The sequence below is a fragment of the Homo sapiens genome, chromosome 1 (genome assembly GCF_000001405.40).
Source record: "Homo sapiens chromosome 1, GRCh38.p14 Primary Assembly".
In the NCBI taxonomy this organism is placed as follows: domain Eukaryota; kingdom Metazoa; phylum Chordata; class Mammalia; order Primates; family Hominidae; genus Homo; species Homo sapiens.
The window spans coordinates 13,807,526-13,825,404 of NC_000001.11; the positions used below are offsets into that span (position 1 = coordinate 13,807,526).

The 17,879-nt window shown below is 51.2% G+C and overlaps 1 protein-coding gene across 9 annotated transcripts in view, besides 2 other annotated features; it reads left to right on the top strand.

Moving 5' to 3' along the window:
- The window catches only part of PRDM2 (PR/SET domain 2), a 124,892-nt gene extending 107,338 nt beyond the window's left edge, over window positions 1-17,554 (top strand). For 5 of the 9 annotated variants that reach the window (XM_047429994.1, XM_047429996.1, XM_047429997.1 and 2 more), the window contains one exon: window positions 8,902-9,045. In XM_047429994.1, coding sequence (XP_047285950.1) covers window positions 8,902-9,022 — 121 coding nt within the window. In that variant the 3' untranslated portion in view covers window positions 9,023-9,045. Of the gene's footprint in view, window positions 1-8,901; window positions 9,046-15,633 lie in introns of those variants that run through there. The other 4 variants (NM_001393986.1, NM_001135610.2, NM_012231.5 and 1 more) reach the window with 1 other exon arrangement.
- Window positions 3,854-3,903: a silencer, noted in NCBI's record as "silent region_291". NCBI's record gives its function as "represses an Ori minimal core promoter by ATAC-STARR-seq in GM12878 lymphoblastoid cells {active_cell/tissue: GM12878}" and the evidence as "EXISTENCE:reporter gene assay evidence [ECO:0000049][PMID:35858748]".
- Window positions 6,351-6,400: an enhancer, noted in NCBI's record as "active region_222". NCBI's record gives its function as "activates an Ori minimal core promoter by ATAC-STARR-seq in GM12878 lymphoblastoid cells {active_cell/tissue: GM12878}" and the evidence as "EXISTENCE:reporter gene assay evidence [ECO:0000049][PMID:35858748]".
- Window positions 17,555-17,879: the final 325 nt, after the last annotated feature.

Genomic DNA, 17,879 nt, shown 5'->3' on the forward strand with positions numbered 1-17,879 from the left:
TCAAATAAAGTGGTTAAGCGAGGCTCACTGGGAATGAGACATTTGAACAGAAACTTGAAAGGGGGCCTGGGAGTGAGCCACAAGACCACCTGGGGGAAGAGTGTTCCAGGAACAGCCTGTGCCGAGTCCCTGAGGCAAGAATGGGCCACTGGAAATCTGAATGACTGAATGAAAGAATGAATGCATCCTTGAGGCCAGGAACAGAGCAGATGTTCTATTTCTAGACATGTTCTATTAGACGTTCTATTGTATAGATAATGCCCTTGCATTGTCTTCAGACTAGCAAGGAATTCTGACAAGTAAGAAATTAGGATCCCCAGGAGACGATGCTCTGAGGCACCATTTCTGAGCCTTCCTATGAGCCGGGAGTGGACCAGGTGTTTGAGGTCTGCCCTCTGCCCAATCCTTCCCCGTCCATACAGATTGGATGGTGTATGACATCCCCCTGTGCTTTCAAAGTCCATTAGTTTTTGTTCTAAGTAAAATGTCCAGAAATTTCCCTCCTAGAGTAGGCAGTAGAGCACACTTTGCCAGAGGCCAGACACTTCTGGGCAAAGCCTGTGTGGGGCACACAGCAGGTTCCTCCCAACCCTGCTACTATGTTTAAAATGTTCAACCACTGTGTATGAAAATCTTACCAAGGTAATGCTACACTCCCCTGCTTTCTAAAAACAGTTGATGCTGGGCCGGGCGCGGTGGCTCACGCCTGTAATCCCCACACTTTGGGAGGCCGAGGCGGGCGGATCACGAGGTCAGGAGATCGAGACCATCCTGGCTAACATGGTGAAACCCCATCTCTACTAAAAATACAAAAAATTAGCCGGGCGTGGTGGCGGGCTGAGGCAGGAGAATGGCGTGAACACGGGAGGTGGAGCTTGCAGTGAGTGGAGATCGCACCACTGCACTCCAGCCTGGGCGACAGAGTGAGACTCTGTCTCAAAAAAAAAAAAAAAAAAAACAGTTGATGCTGAACTTGTTCAACCCTTTCTTGATGTCTAGGATTGAGGACTACGTATCTCATTCATTTTGCCGGGATTTTATGGAGGAGCATCTTGGGGAGCATAGTAAGTCCATTTTCCCTCCCCTGCACTGAACAGATTTCTTGGTGTCTGAGAACAGCTGTGCAGTGGGAATATCACAGAGTCTTGAATTGCTCATTTCTTCCTTCCTTACATGTTGAGGGTCTATTATTCACTCACGCACAGTTAGGTACTAAGAATACAATGATGAACAAAACTCAACCACGCTCTGCCATCAGAGACCTTACGGCCCCCTGGGGAGACCTGCCTTTATCAGACAGTCGCAGATGCATGAGAAACTGCCCGTGTGGGGGCCGGTGTGGGAACCTGACCAGGGCCATGTTGCCTCAAGAGGGCGACCACAGAAGCATCTCCAGAGCAGTGGTTCTCAACCCAGCTGCATGTTGGAATCACTGAAGAGCTTAAAAATACCATTGCCCAATCCTGCCCCAGAGATCCTGATGTCATGTCCTGGCATGCAGCCCAGGCCTCTCTGGGTGAATCTAGTGAGGAGCCGAGGCTACAGGCCACTGGGAAATGGGGTCTACCCAGATTAGCTGGAGTAAACAAGAACAGAAGGGGAGAGATGGGCTGGGAGGGCAGTGCAGGCTGGACTTGATGTATCAAGGAACTTGGACTGCGTCCTGGGAGCCATGGGGTTTTGACAGGTTGCAGCAGGGGCGTGTCGTGGTCCGTTTTGCCTTTTGGGAAGACCGTCACACTTCTGTGGAACAGATGGGAGGGGAGCCAGTGTGGAAGTGAGAAGTCCAGTGAGGAAGGCGCCTTGCAGGACTCCAGGCGAGAGGTGGTCCCCGACAGTGGTAGAAGAGGAAGGAAGGCGGACTCGATGGAGCCAGTGGCAGGTGACGTGTAGCAGGAGAGAGTGACGGAGGGACCGTGTTGAGTCTCAGGTCTCTGGCTTTCAGGGCACAAATGCAGTGCTGTTCACCAAGAACAGGAGCAGGGTGGAGTGGCAGGCGTGAGGTGGGGTCATAATTTAAGTTCAGGAACTGATTTAAGGGGCCTTCTAGATGTCCAAGAGATGTCACGTCAGTGCGTGAATGGAGTTCAAAGGCCAGATGTGGGCTGGGCGTGGGTGCCGGTGAGTCATCTGTGTGAGGCTGGCCGTGGACGCCAAAGCCACGGATGCATCGCCTAGGGAGGGAGTCACCTGCAGAGATGACAGGCTGTGGTCCAGACCCCGTGTTCAGATCCTAATCTCACCAAGCATGACTCTGGGCAAGTTGTCTTAACAAAATTTGGGCTGCCATAACAGAATACCATGGACTAGGCGGCTTAAATGACAGAAATTTTTTTTTCACAGTTCTGGAGACTGGAAGTTCAAGATTAGGGTACCAGCATGGTTTGGTTCTGGTCGAGGCTCTCTTCCTGGTTCACAGACTGCCACCTTCTGTCTGTGTCCTCACATGACCTTTTTCGAGCACACGCATCTTCTTACAAGGCACAAGCACTAATCCCGTCATGAATGTCCCATCCTCATGACCTCATTAAACCCAGTCACTTCCTGAAGGTCCCACCTCTAAATACAATCACATTGGGGGTTAGGGCTTCAGCATATGAATGGGGTGCAGGGGACACAAAGGTTCCATCTATAACAGTTAACCTCTCTCAAGTTTGTCGACCTCTCAGGTTCCCCAAGGACGAAATTAAGCATGCATGGAACCCGGGACATCATGGCACATACATGGCCTGGCACATAGTATTTCCCTACCCTTGAACTTGCCCTCCTTTCCCGCTTCCAGGGAAGTGTCTGCTGTCTGCTACAGACTCTGTATTTGCCTCAATCTAACAGCTCTTTTCTTCCTCTTCTATTCATTTTGCTGCTTCTGATTGGCTGTGGACTTGTAAGCCATCGGCCGTATTCGTTTGAATTGTGTGTACAGTAAGAACAGCGTGCACTGAACGTGAAAGCTTGAGTTCTTTTTTCTTTTCTTTTTTTTTTGTTTTGAGATGGAGTCTCACTCTGTCACCCAGGCTGGAGTGCAGTGGCACGATCTCGGCTCACTGAAAGCTCTGCCTCTGGGGTTCACACCATTCTCCTGCCTCAGCCTCCCAAGTAGCTGGGACTACAGGCGCCCGCCACCACACCCGGCTAATTTTTTGTATTTTTAGTAGAGACGGGGTTTCACTGTGTTAGCAAGGATGGTCTCGATCTCTTGACCTCGTGATCCGCCCGCCTCGGCCTCCCAAAGCACTGGGATTACAGGCGTGAGCCACCGCACCTGGCTGAAAGCTTGAGTTCTGTGTGACTTTGTGCTCCTTAGGGACAGGCTGCAGGCCCAGGCATGAATTTTAGTGCCTGCATGCAGTGAGCTTCTGTCAGAGTTTACAGATCTGGGCCAGGCGTGGTGGCTCATGCTTATAATCCCAGCACTTTGGGAGGCCGAGGTGGGTGGATCACCTGAGGTGAGGAGTTGAGACCAGCCTGGCCAACATGGTGAAACCCCGTCTCTACTAAAAATACAAAAATTAGCCGGGCATGGTGGCAGGTGCCTGTAGTCCCAGGTACTCAGGAGGCTGAGGCGGGAGAATCGCTTGAACCTGGGAGGTGGAGATTGCAGTGAGCCAAGAAAGCACGACTGCACTCCAGCCTGAGCGACAGAGTGAGACTCTGTCTCAAAAGAAAAAAAAAGAGTTTACAGATCAGTGGGCACTGGTTGTGGATGGCTCAGACTTTCTACAACGTTCTAGGCTGTTCTCTGGATTGTGAAGGTTAAGGGGCCTCTGGATAAGTGAGGCAATGGCTCGTTAACGCTTACTTGCACAGTGACCATGCCATCACCATAACCCACAGGAAGCATCCTGTGACACTGTGCTCGCCCCCTGCTGGCTGATGGGGCATCCCCTTGTAACTGGAGGCAGTGCTGGGAGCGCACAGGCTGTCCTTGTGCCAGAGACTCTGGGCTCTGCCATCCCTGGACAGGGGCCGGGCCTGGGGAGGGTGTGTGGTCCTGAGACCATGTTTCCTCCACCTGCAAACCAGGGGCATCCCTCATGGCTGCCTCCACCCACCCACCCAATATTTCCTGTACCAGGTCCTGTGCCTGGGGACACAGGGGATTCCACTGTCAGCAAGACTCAGTCCCTGCCCTCAAAGACATCCTCTTCTAGTGTTGAAGGAGTAAGCAACTCGACAGGCAAGGTGATTGCTGTGGGAAAAGCTGTGAGCAAAAGGCCCAGAAAGTCACAGAAAGACAGAAGGAAGACAGAAGGGAACTCCAAAGGCTATGGGAACAGGGCTGGGGTTGCCACTAAGGTGGGGAGGTCAGAGAAGGCCTCTTTCAGGAGACACTTAAGCTGAGACCCACAAGGTGGGAGGGAGCTGTGGGCAGAGGAGGGCAGGGCAGGGGAAAGCCAGGCAGGGAGCAACCAGGTAAGAAGAGCTTGGCCTGGCTGAGAGACAAGTGCACAGGGTGAACACAGAGTGCGTGAGGGGACTGGGAGGGTCGCAAGCAGGTGCACAGCACTCTGTGTGGGAAGGCTTGGGCCACTTTTGCACTGGGCAGTGATGTGGTCCAGTGTCGTGGTCATGTCCGGTGGTCCTTATAAAGGCCTCTCTTGTTGCTTAGTGGAGAATGGATTGGTGGTGGGGGGGAGGGTGCAGCGTCGAAGTGGGGACAGTGCAGTGGCAATTGCCACAGTCCCCGTGGAAGGTGTTGATGCCACAGGTTGTGCTGGGTGGTGGCAATGGGAGTGGAGAGAGGTGTGTGGACCTGGAGGCAGAATTAAGGGACCCGGAGATGGATCAGCTTTAGGGTAAGCACAGCGGGGGGTCTCACAGGCCCCATGATCACAGCACACTGCTCGATGGTGTGCCTGCTTCAAATGTGTGTGGTTTCTAGGTCTATGGCCAATCCGAAGCAGCAAAATGAATAGAAGAGGAAGAAAAGGGCTATTGGGCTTTAGTTGTAACAACAACACGTTTGGCAGTGCCATTTCCTGAGAAGAGTGACAAGAGTCCAGTGTGGCTGGAGCCTGGTAGGGGCGGGAGCAAGGTGGGACCCTAGCATGTCCCACTTTGCCGTGTTAAAGTGAGATGCTCATTAGACATCCAAGTGGAGGGGCCCGGCAGGCAGTGGGTGTGCGGGTCTGGAGCCCTGCCCAGGAGTTTGAGCCAAAAGTCTGACCGAAGTGTTGACACAGAAGTCTTACCTGACATTCAGTCTTTAAGGACCAGTCAGGACCCTGGCTCACCTCCTGCTCCGATGCTTCCTGGGGTCACACCCACTAGGAGCATCTCACATGTGCTGGATTCTTCCCAGAAAGCAAAGTGCTCTCAATCCTGGTCACCAAAATGCTTCCAGCCCTGCTCTCTGTTGGCAGGCTGGCAGGGACTGTCTCCATTTTACAGAGGGGGAAACCGAGGCTCCGAGGCCGAGCGACAGGGAGTGGCTTACCCTGGGCCATACAGTCAATGAGAATGAGGATTATTAGAGGCCACCCCCAGGTCTCCAGCGGCCATACTGCATCCTCCTGGGGTGATGACTTCTCCATATGAGTCCACCAACCGCAACTGCTGCAGTCACGACACTGTGCTGATACCTACTGGAGTGCCAGGATGCCCTGCACGGAGACCTTTCTCCAAAGTTAATCATTACTGTAACCCCAAACTGGTCTTCCCGATTTGCAGAAGATCAACCTGGAACTCAGACAGGTCCATGACTCACTGAGGTCACACAGCTAGTGGGTGGGAACCAAGAATCATGAGGCTCTGCGCTAACTGCTACTGTGCCCTGGAGAAGCACCCAATTCCGGAGCCTTGGTCCTCGGTATTTAACATCTCGGGGTTGGGGGCACTGTGCTCTCATGAGTTCTTTGACAGTGAAGCACTTCTTGATCAGGAAGGACAGTCCCCCACGACATCCTGTCCCCGTCCTAACAGGAAACACCCAATTAGTGACCTGGTGTTTCTTCAAAATGGTGGCCTAAGGAGCTGAAAGCCCAGGGCTCTGCTCGCCTGGGAAAGTCTCCATATCCGTCTGAGCCTCAGTTTTCTCATCCGTGAAAGGGGTATAAAAGCACTTGTTCTTCCTACCTCCTGGGCTGCTGGGAGGGTTCAGAGAGAAAACTGAGAAAGTCCTTGGGAGTCATGGAGGCCATGTTCATGTTGGCTGCCGTGGTCCTCCATTAGGCCAGGCAGTGGATGAGGGGTAGCAGAGGGGCCTCTGCCTTCAGGGGTTTTGCCCCCGACCTACTCGTTCCACCCAGATGGACGCCCTGAGCCGGGGAGGAGGCGCGCCCCCTGGTGGAGACGCTATGGTTGCTGCATCCGCAGGAGCCCAGGCGGAAGAGATGCTAAAGGGAGCGGAGACACACTGGCTGGCTAGAGAGGCCTGGGAGGTCGGGGTGTTATTTTTGTGTGATTGATCTGGCTTTTGGATACTTAACAGCAGAGAAAGGGAGAAGCTGGATACTGATGATGCAGGGCTTGTCTGTCTCCAAAGCTTCTGCTGGTCTTGCTACACCACTGTAGACATTTCCCTGGGAAGGGGGACATCGTAGGGAGGGGACCTGCTCTTTGCCAGCTCTGTTTCTTATTGCCCAACAGGACACAGGAGTCCATGTCTCCAGCAGCCTCCCAGCTGGCTGTCTCCTCCCAGGTTGGGTCTCCTGGGGCACCAGCCAGCTAGAATGGGGTTGGCGGGGGTGGCCACTAGCTGCCTTGGTGGCCCGTCAGGAGCACAGTTGTATGAAGCATGGGTCCTCCGTTTCCTCCTTAACTCTTGCACAGGCGAGTAGACTGAGCTGACCGTGGGCCTTGGCTGCACAGCGCAGGGGAGGAATTCAAACAGGGGCAGCCCTGACCTTGACAGAGAGCCAGGCCCTTGGGGGAGGCTCACTCGTGACAACAGCAGGTCTCTTAGTCTTGTCTAAGGCTTTTCTCCAGCACCTTCTACATTTGCTTGTCTGTTGATGCATTTGCTTATTTTAATATTGATTGAGGGCTCCCTTGCCAACATTGACACTGTCAGCATTTGGGGCTGGTTAAACCTTTGTTGCGGGGGCCTGTCCTGGGCACTGTAGGAGGTTTGGCAGCACCCCTGGCCTTACCTTCCAGATGCCGGTAGCAGCACCCTTCCCTCAGGTATGAAAGCCAACGATGTCTCCACACATTACCAAGTGTGTACCCTGATTGAGAACCACTCATGTGAGCTCTACCATGTGCCAGCTTTGAGCTGGACTCCATTCCCGCCTCCTGTTCCCGCAGGCAGAGCTGGCTCTGCAAACACCTGGAGCAGGTAGGGTTCCGGGCGTGTTTGTCCCTCCTGCTTTCCTACCTGCCTGGCCTCCCACCTCCTCTGACCTGGGCCGCCTTGTCCAGAGGCCTCCCTCACTTTCCATTCTTCCATCTAGAGAGGTAGACAGGTGACAGGCTCTTTGTGCCTCAGTTTCCTCATCTGTAAATTAGGGATAATAACAGTATCCACCTGGGTAGGTTTTGTGAAGAGTTAGATTGTTTGTGTATGGAAAATACCTAGCACAGTTCTGGACATGCAGTGAGCCTGTATGTATCACTCTTACTCAGTGGATGTTTGTTTGTTTGTTTATTTATTTATTTGAGATGGAGTCTTGCTCTGTTGCCCAGGCTGGTGTACAATGGAACAATCTCGGCTCACTGCAACCTCTGCCTCCCGGGTTCAAGCGATTCTCCTGCCTCAGCCTCCTGAGTAGCTGTGATTACAGGCATCCACCACCACGCCTGGACAATTTTTTTTTTGTATTTTTAGTAGAGACAGGGTTTCACCATGTTCGCCAGGCTGGTCTTGAACTCCTGACCTCAGGTGATCCACCCGCCTCAGCCTCCCAAAGTGCTGGGATTACAGGCATGAGCCACCGCACCTGGCCGGATGTTTATTTTTATTGTGCCAAGCTGGGGATGCAACAATGAACAGGACAAAGATCCTGACCTTGGGATCTCAGAGCTCATGAGAAAGGCAGACACCTTATTCTGGGCTTTTAATTCAGGTGGGATGGGGACACCTAAGGGGCCTGTTGGAGGAACACCCCACCCAGGAGTTAAAGAAGGAAAGCTTCCTGGAGGAGGTAGCATCCCAGCTGGGCTATGAAAGAGAAGTACGAGTTAGCTGAGTGACGAAAGGAGAGGACTAATGGTGTGAGTTATCTATCTTTTAAATAAATTTTTTAAAAGCCCTTCTGAAAAAATCAAATCCCATTTACTGGGGGCGGTGGTTGGGGGTGCTTTTCTGTACAAATAGTACAAAACCATGCCCCCGAAATTCCTAGATTCACCTCTTTGGGAAGCCACGTCACCCCTGTGAGATACTCAGCATGGAAGTGCTTGGCACAGGATAGATGTGGAGTGTGGGGTTAAGGGCAATGGAGCTGCCTCCATTCCCCACAACCCAGCCCATGTGCAGGTGTGTTTGTACTTTGATAATAGTAACCTCCCCAGATGCTTTTTTCCTTATGGGTGTTGGGGCCTGGCAGGAGGGGAGAGCAGGGAGGCAGGTGGGGAAATGGAATCAGAGAAGGGCACAGCCGCTGTTCTGATGCAATCGGAGTCATTCTGGCTCACCTGCATGTCCACTGGGGGTCACCAGACGGCACTGCCCATCATGGTGTCTCAGAACCAGCCCAATGGACACTCCTCTTGCCCGTGCTTCTGCGATCGCCTCCGAGGGGAGAGAATTGGTGGATGGGACATGGAGAAGTGCACATTGGTGGTTAAAGCTCATGTCCTATTAGCTGATGCCAGGCACCTGGCCTCAAGGTGTCCAGGAAGTGCAATCCTATCCTGGCCTGGGAAGTGGTGACCAGCACTAAGGAAGCCCCCCCAGCAATGTCTAGGGCACCGGGCTGGGCTCCTGTGACAATGTGTGTTGTTCCTCTTCCTGCACAGCTACAGCCTCCGCTTGGCGTCCCGATGCTCTCCACCAGCGGCCCCGTACATCACCAGGCAGTATAGGAAGGTCAAAGCTCCAGCTGCAGCCCAGTTCCAGGGACCATTCTTCAAAGAGTAGACACTCTGGCTGCTCCCTGACAGGTACGAGGCAGGATGGAACAGCTTCTGGCACTGTTTGGGTGGGTCAAGGGGGTGTGGGCTTGGGTCTTGGGTGGGGAGGGAAGGAGAGAAAGCAGTGGGTGTGATTGCTTGTGTGTACCAGGCACGGTGCAGGGCCTCCCTCCAGGAGGGCACTTAGCTGAGTGCAGACTCCGGACCACTTGTTTCACATCCCAGCTCTGCCACTTGCTGGCTACGAACTTCAAGCAAGTTACTTAGTCTTTCTGAGCCTCAGTTTCCACATGTGTACAGTGGGCACTACAATAGGACCTACTTTATAGGGTGATTGTGACAATTACGAGTGTCAAATGTGCGAAGCACCTAGAAGAGTGTCTGTCACATAGTAAGCACTAGGTAAGTCATTATTGGAGTAATAATGATAAAAATAGTAATTATACTCAGTTCTTAATTGCCTCAGAGGCATTAAGCCCAGAAAAGATGACCGAGTTCCTATTCTCACAATGTTTTTGAAAGTCAAAATAATACAGGTGGAGTAACCCTAATCCAAAAATCCAAAATCTGAAATGCCCCAAAATCTGAACCTGAGTGAGGACATTCAAAGGAAATACACTCGAAGGAAATGCTCATTGGAGCGTTTCAGGTTTCAGATTTTTGGATTAGGGATGCTGACCCAGCAAGTATGTAGTGCAAATATTCCAAAATCCAAAAAAAATCCAAAATCAAAAAATTTCGGGTCTCAAGCATTTCAGACAAGGGATATGTAATCTGTCCTAATCCATAAAATATAAAACTCAGATTTATTTTGGACTAAAACAGCCTCTTCCTAGGTTTTCTGATGGTAAAAACCTGGAATTACTCTAAGATTTCTGTTGGATAAAAACATGGAAACCAGACTTTTCATTTTTGGAGTACCTGGATTCTGCTGGTGACCCACGAGCAGGCTTGGCCCTCCCTGTTGGTGACACCACACAACTGCATTCATTGTGTCCCCAAGGCCAGCATCTCAAAGTGATCAGAGGACCTCATACATCAGAAGATCTAGGATGCTTTTATAAATACAGACCTCAGAGTCCAGTTCCAAATGTACAAAATGGCCAAAAAGGCTCAAATCCCATTTACTGGACTATAGTACGAATAGGGCCAAACCCCATTAAAAAATCCCGAGTTCAGCCGGGCGCGGTCGCTCACACCTGTAATCCCAGCACTTTGGGAGGCCGAGGCAGGTGGATCACGAGATCAGGAGATCGAGACCATCCTGGCTAACACACTGAAGCCCTGTCTCTACTAAAAATACAAAAAAATTAGCCGGGCATGGTGGTGGGCGCCTGTAGTCGCAACTACTCAGGAGGCTGAGACAGGAGAATGGCGTGAATGCAGGAGGTGGAGCTTGCAGTGAGCAAATCCTGAGTTTACATCTCTGTGGGAAGTCACATCACCCCTATGAGATGCCCAGCATGGAAGTGGTTGGCACAGGACAGATGTTGAATACGGGGTTAATGGGAGGGAGGGGACTGGCCACCACCCCCCACAGCCCTGCTTGTATTGGTGGGTGGGTATTGATGGCACAGGCCCATCCTGGTGGGTGTGACCAGGGAACCTGCATTAGCAGATGGCCCCCTGGTTCTGGGACACGCGTAGGTTTGGGAATGTGTGCTTAACACGAGGCAGTGGTTAAAACACCAACCAGAGTCGTTTGGAATGAGAGTGTAGTTCAAGGCAAGAATGGGCTGAATTCTGAAACTCTGAGGTCTTTTGTATTATGCCAGGAAGAGAAGACCCTTTCTTCCTTCTGCCTGCCCTCCAACCCCAAGACCTCACTTCTCTCTTTCCTTTTTTTTTTTTTTTTTTGAGACAGAGTCTCGCTCTGTCGCCAGGCTGGAGTGCAGTGGCGCGATCTTGACTCACTGCATCCTCCACCTCCCAGGTTCAAGCGATTCCCCTGCCTCAGCCTCCTGAGTAGCTGGGACTACAGGCACCCGCCACTACTCCTGGCTAATTTTTTTTTTTTTTGTATTTTAGTAGAGACGGGGTTTCACCATGTTGGCCAGGATGGTCTTGATCTCCTGACCTCATGATCTGCCTGCCTCTGCCTCCCAAAGTGCTGGGATTACAGGCGTGAGCCACCGCTCCCGGCTGTTTACTTCTCTCTTTCTTAAGCAGTTGGAGTTTCTGGCTTGGCTTTATTCCTCTGGGGTTTGGGGAGGGGAGCAAAAATAAAATCCACTCTTGCCCAGAGAGTCTGTGGTCTGCTGCTGGAATTGAACCTGTCTCTCTGGGGCCGGCTGCTCCCTGAGAGGGGAACCTGGAGACTTGACCCTGAGCTGGAGTCTCATGGAACAATGTTGAAATGGACTGTAAGATAGTACAGAGCTGGGAGGCCCTGGGAGAGGTACCTCCCATTTTACAGATGGAAAAATTGAGGCCCCAAGAGAAGAGACATAGGACGTGGCTAGGGTCTTCTGGAAAGTGAGAGGCCATGCCAGGATGAACAATTCCGACTCTGGGAACCATTTGTGTCCAGCATCCTCCTTGCGGCCAAGGCTGCTACGTGAACCTTCTGTGTTGATGGGCACCCGGGACTTGCTTCCACCCCAGAGCAGGTGTTCTCTGCAGCCGGAGGGAGAGCCAGGTGCAGCTGGGCTGGCTTCCTAAACAGACTGGGCCATTTCTGTTGGCCACTGCAGGCTTGGCCATGACGAAGATGAAATGTATGTAGCATTTGCCAAGCCTTATGAATTTAGGCTCTGCCCCAGCACCAAGCACTGTCCTAGGTGATGGCCTTCTTTTTCCTTCTTTAAAAACATACAGTTTCCCAAGCGAAGCGATCAAATGAAGAGAGGCCTAACGTCATTTGCCTCTGCATCTTGTGATCTCTGTTTGCTCACCAACAACGAAGGCTCCAAACTCAGCAGTTTCGTGTAACTTGCTCCTTAAAATCTTCTGTAGCTTTTTTTCCATTTTTTAAATTGGTACTTACACCAAGCATGTGCTACTTATATTATTTTTAAAATAATTTTTTAAAAAAATCTCTTTATACTGTTTGCCTTAGTTAGCTCAGGCTGCTATCACAAAATACCACTGACTGTGTGGCTTAAATATTGAACAGAAATTTATTTCCTGATGGTTCTTGAGGCTGCAAGTACCAGATCAGGGTGCCACCATAGCCAGGTTCTGGTGAGGGCCCACTTCCTGGCTTGCAGACGGCCACCTCATTGCTGTGTCCTCACGTGGCGGGGGCCTGGGGGAGAGCAAGCTCTCTGGTGTCTCTTCTTAGAAGTCCACTCATCTCATCGTGAGCCCTGCTTCGTGATCTCATCTAAGCCTAATCACCTCCCAAAGGCCCCACCTCCAAATACCATCACAGGGAGGGGTTAGGGCTTCAGCATAAGGGTTTTAGGGAGACACAGTTCAGTCCATAGCACTGTTTAACATAGCTCCAGATTTATGAAAATGCCACAGCAAAGTATTTTAGTTCAGGAAGGTGTGTGCAGGTCAAAGCCCTCATTTTACAGAGACGGAAACTGACACGGAGGGGCGTGTGGCAGAACTGGCATCAACACTCTGGTCTTCTGATTCCCGGGACGGATCTTCGACTTCTAATTGGGCCGTGCCTCCTTGCAAAACTGTGTGTGCATGTGGGTTTTGTTCAGAAAAAAGGATGGCCTTCTCGAAGGACCCATGGCTTTGGCTGCTTAGCCTGCTCTTGCCCATTCCGGATTCAAGGCTTCGTCACCCGTCTCCCGGACAGTTTGAATGCAGCGAGAATGAACACAGAGGTGCTTGGTTTCTGGCAAGCCCTGCCTTTCACCAGCCTCTGTGGCACCCTCTTTACTGTGACTCACACAAAGCCCAGAGGTTTCTGTTCACTTTTAAGTGCAGAAAAGTGCTGTGCTGCCTAGTCTATAGGGAGGCTTCCTTTGCACATCCTGTCTTCACCCCGTGTCTTTCCTACCCCAGGGGTTCAGCGGGAGGCCCAGGGAAGGGACAGCCTCTCACCTGTTTGGCCACCATTGTGATCCTTCTCTCAGCTGTTGCTGCTCCTTTGGCTAAGACCAGCGGCCTCAGGGCCCTCTGTGGGCAGGATTTCTGACATGCGCTCCCTCCTGGGGTCCTGGGAGTGGGGGGTGTAGAGGTCGCCCATCCCGGCCCATCTCCCTTGTATGAGAGCTCCCCTCCACCTCAGGTCCAGCCCCCAGCTCCTGCTGCTGTGGCCTCCCCAGAGGGCTGCCCTCTCGGTGGGGGACTGGCAAGATGGCTCCTTTAATGGATCCCACGTGACCCAGGGGAGACCCACACTTGCTGGCCACGCCAGGCCAAGGGAATACAGCCACTCCATAGCCGGCCCCGCCTCTGCTTCCTTTTCTTCCCCCTGCCCTGGCTCATGGGCACGGGCACACAGGCCAGTCTGCTGCATAAGCAGGCGTCCTCTGGGAAGGGATGCCTCCTCTCTTGAAGACATCCCACTCCCCCGCAAACAGCCCTTTCCAGCCCCATCAGACATTTCAGGGAATTGAAATGAACATGCGTAGTGGTTAGGTGCACAGTGTCTGGAGCTATCCCTTCAGTGGCTACTTCACGCCTCTGTGTTTCAATTCACGCATCTGCGAAATGGGTTAATAATAATAATACCTCTCTCATGGGTTTGTTGAGAAGATTGCATAGGTTAGTGAATGAAAAACCCTTAGCAAAGTGCCTGGTATGCAATAAGCCTTCCATAAACAACTGGTATTATTATTATTATTATTGAAATATTACATTATTAGTGGTAGTAATAATAATAGCAGTAGTTATTTTTAGTAATAGTAATGGTGACCAGGTCCACTGGGCAAGAGAACTGTATCCCTGAACTTGGCCCAGCCCAATTCAACCCAATGCAGTGAACATTTATTTATTTATTTATTTATTTATTTATTTATTTATTTATTTATTTTGAGACAGGGTTTCACTCTGTCGCCCAGGCTGGAGTGCAGTGGCGCAATCTCAGGTCGCTGCAACCTCTGTCTCCCAGGTTCAAGGGATTCTCCTCCTTAGCCTCCTGAGTAGCTGGGATTACAGGCACCCACCATCACTAATGTATTTTTGTATTTTTGTATTTTTAGTAGAGACTGGGTTTCATCATGTTGGCCAGGCTGGTCTCGAACTCCTGACCTCAAGTGATCTGCCCACCTCAGCCTCCCAAAGTGCTGTGATTACAGGCGTGAGCCACCGCGCCCAGCCTGCAGTGAACATTATTAAGGATTCACCCATGTGCTCAGCTCTGGACTAAGCACTGTGAATGTGGTTTCTGCGGAGGAAGCATGCGGGAACAGCCATCCCCTCCCGACTGGAAGAGCACACAGATGCTGGAGTGAGTGAGCCTGACCTGGGTTCAAGTCTCACCTCTGCTGCTCATCATCTGCAGGCTTGTAAAAGTTATTTCTCCTCTCTGAGCCTCCATTTCTTTCATATAGAATGGGGATCTGTGTTGCCTGCCATGAGGGTTGTTGTGAACATCCAAAGGAAATTAAGCAGGAGTACAATCACTTTGGAAAACTGTTTGGCAGTGTTGACTGATGCTGAACATGTGGGTACCTCAGGACCCAGCAGTCCCACTGCAGGGGACACACTCAGCAGATATGTACCCACGTGCACCAGGAAATACCTATGAGAATGCTGATGTGTTATCTATGGACATCCTACGACCCAGCATTTCCGCTCAGCACAAATGCATACGTATTTGCACCATACGTGTCCTCTAGACACATATGAGAATGTTCTAGCAGCATGACTCACATGGCACCAAACTGGAAGTTCCCAGTTGTGGATCAGCAGAGGAATAGATGGATAGAGGTGGTGTATTTCTTTTTCTTTCTTTTTTTTTTTTTGAGACAGAGTCTCGCTCTGTCTCCCAGGCTGGAGTGCAGTGGCGCGATCTGGGATCACTGCAAGCTCCGCCTCCCAGGTTCACGCCATTCTCCTGCCTTAGCCTCCTGAGTAGCTGGGACTACAGGCACCTGCCACCATGCCTGGCTAATTTTTTGTATTTTTAGTAGAGACAGGGTTTCACCGTAGCCAGGATGGTCTCAATCTCCTGACCTGGTGATCTGCTCGCCTCGGCCTCCCAAAGTGCTGGGATTACAGTCGTGAGCCACCGCGCCTGGCCGAGGTGGTGTCTTTCTATAATAGCACACTACATAACAACAAGGTTGAAAACATCAACCACACATACAGAATGGGTGGCTCTCACAAACACTCGGTGGAAAAAGCCAGACGCAGGAGGAGATTACTGATTGACCCTATTTATTTAACTTAAAAAATGGGTGAAATCAGTCTATGCTGTTAGAGGTGAGGACAGTGGTTCTTCCCGAGGGCGGGAGGGTTCATGTATCCTTAAAGGGGTCACGGGTCAGGGGCTGATGGGCGGCTGTCACATTCTGATTCTTCATCTGGGTGCCAGCTCTGCAGGTGTATTCACTGTGAACATTCATCAAGCTGTGCTTTTTGCTCTATGTATGGTATGTTTCAATAAACAGTTTAGTTACAAAATTAAGTGCAATAACGCATGGACCACCATGGTCGGCACTGAATGTGTGCTTACTGTTATTATTTTTATTTTCTTTTTCTCCTCAGCACCTGAAGTGACCTGGAATCAGTGAAGCCAAAGGGACTGGCAGTCTGCCCTGCAGGGAGTACCGACCTATCCCAGTTGTGTGAGGCTGCGAGAGAAAGGGAGTGCATGTGCGCGCGTGCATGTGTGCGTGCGTGTGTGTTCACGTGTTCTCGTGCGGGCGCGTGAGTGGTCTTCAAACGAGGGTCCCGATCCCCGGGGCGGCAGGAAGGGGGCCGACTCCACGCTGTCCTTTGGGATGATACTTGGATGCAGCTCTTGGGACCGTGTTCTGCAGCCCAGCCTTCCTGTTGGGGTGGGGCCTCTCCTACTATGCAATTTTTCAAGAGCTCCTTGACCCTGCTTTTTGCTTCTTGAGTTGTCTTTTGCCATTATGGGGACTTTGGTTTGACCCAGGGGTCAGCCTTAGGAAGGCCTTCAGGAGGAGGCCGAGTTCCCCTTCAGTACCACCCCTCTCTCCCCACCTTCCCTCTCCCGGCAACATCTCTGGGAATCAACAGCATATTGACACGTTGGAGCCGAGCCTGAACATGCCCCTCGGCCCCAGCACATGGAAAACCCCCTTCCTTGCCTAAGGTGTCTGAGTTTCTGGCTCTTGAGGCATTTCCAGACTTGAAATTCTCATCAGTCCATTGCTCTTGAGTCTTTGCAGAGAACCTCAGATCAGGTGCACCTGGGAGAAAGACTTTGTCCCCACTTACAGATCTATCTCCTCCCTTGGGAAGGGCAGGGAATGGGGACGGTGTATGGAGGGGAGGGATCTCCTGCGCCCTTCATTGCCACACTTGGTGGGACCATGAACATCTTTAGTGTCTGAGCTTCTCAAATTAGCTGCAATAGGAAAAAAACAAATTGGGAAATGAAAAAAAAATGGGAAGATTAAAAAGCACAGGGGGAAGAAGAAGAGATTTCGGAGGCCATCCTGCCAGGGGCGGACGGGGCTGACTCCTGCTCTCTGGAGGACGGTCAGTCCATGTCTCGGAGAAACGGGTGAGCTGAGCTTGGCGTTTGGACCCAGTTCAGTGAGGTTCTTGGGTTTTGTGCCTTTGGGGCAGACCCCAGGCAAGGATGTCTGAGACCACTTGGGCGCTGTTTTCTCAGCTCCAATTTCAAGAGTGAGCTATCAAACCCAGAGCGGAAGGAGGGAGCTCTGATGAGCACGGTTTGTCACACGATAAAGGGATTTTTTTTTTCAGGGCTACTACGGTTGATCTTGCAACTCTGTAAATATGTATGTAGACACTTTTAAAAGCACGTATTTATGTCCCTGACTGTAAATGCTCCATTTTTAAAGTTTTATAACTTGTGTTATTTAATGAGTCAGTCAATCGGCTGCAGTATGGGATCTGATAAGGATCTAGGAGAAGGGTCTCATGCGGACCCTCACATGGGCAGAAAAATGGTGGTCATTGGCCGACATCACAGTTTTCCTGTTTCCCACCCAGCTAAAAACCGTTGTTTGCTTTAAATTTTCATAAACTGGAATCCTTTCACCCGCTCCTACAGCTAACCCTCACAAGCATGAAGTGCTGTGGCTGTTCCTTATCCTAATGATGCGCTTTTGTCCCGTAAATGTTAACACTCATGAAGCATACCCCGGCCTCTCAGTTCTTGAGGGCCTCCCCACCGCAGCAGCAAGGAAAGCTCACGAACCCCAAACCTGGCAAGTCACCTGCAGCCCATGGTGAGCTCTGGGAAGTGTGGTTGAGGCCTTGGGGTCACTCCTTTTTTGCATGTGCAAATGTGCTGGTCACCCTTCAACGCTCCCAGACGGTCAGGAAAACTGTTCCAATCATGAAAAGGGGGGATGATTTTGTAAAAGTGGCATTTCCTGGTCAGTGGTGGTCTTCAAGACGACAGCTCTGTATCTGCCATGTGAAGAGAATTAACAATAAAAGTGTGAAGAGCGATTGTGAGGAACAAGCCTGGGAGTGATCATTCTGGTTTCTGTGCTCTGTCTTCTGTGTTGGTGGTTTTGGTGGGAGGGCGGTGGGGGTCCCTGAATGCTCCCTCCCAGCAACGGGAGGAACCAAGGGCTCAAGGAAGCTCACTCTGGAAACGTCCCATCTGGTAAGTAAGGCTACTCTGCCACCTGCCAGCCAGTGAGTTGAACCACATCACTAAGACCAGAAAGACCTCTTTTGATTGCAAATATATTCTTGTCTTTAAACAGATTTATTAAGAGCTAATCCACAGATCATACCACTTACCCACTTAAGCACACACATCAGTGGCTTTTAGTATATTC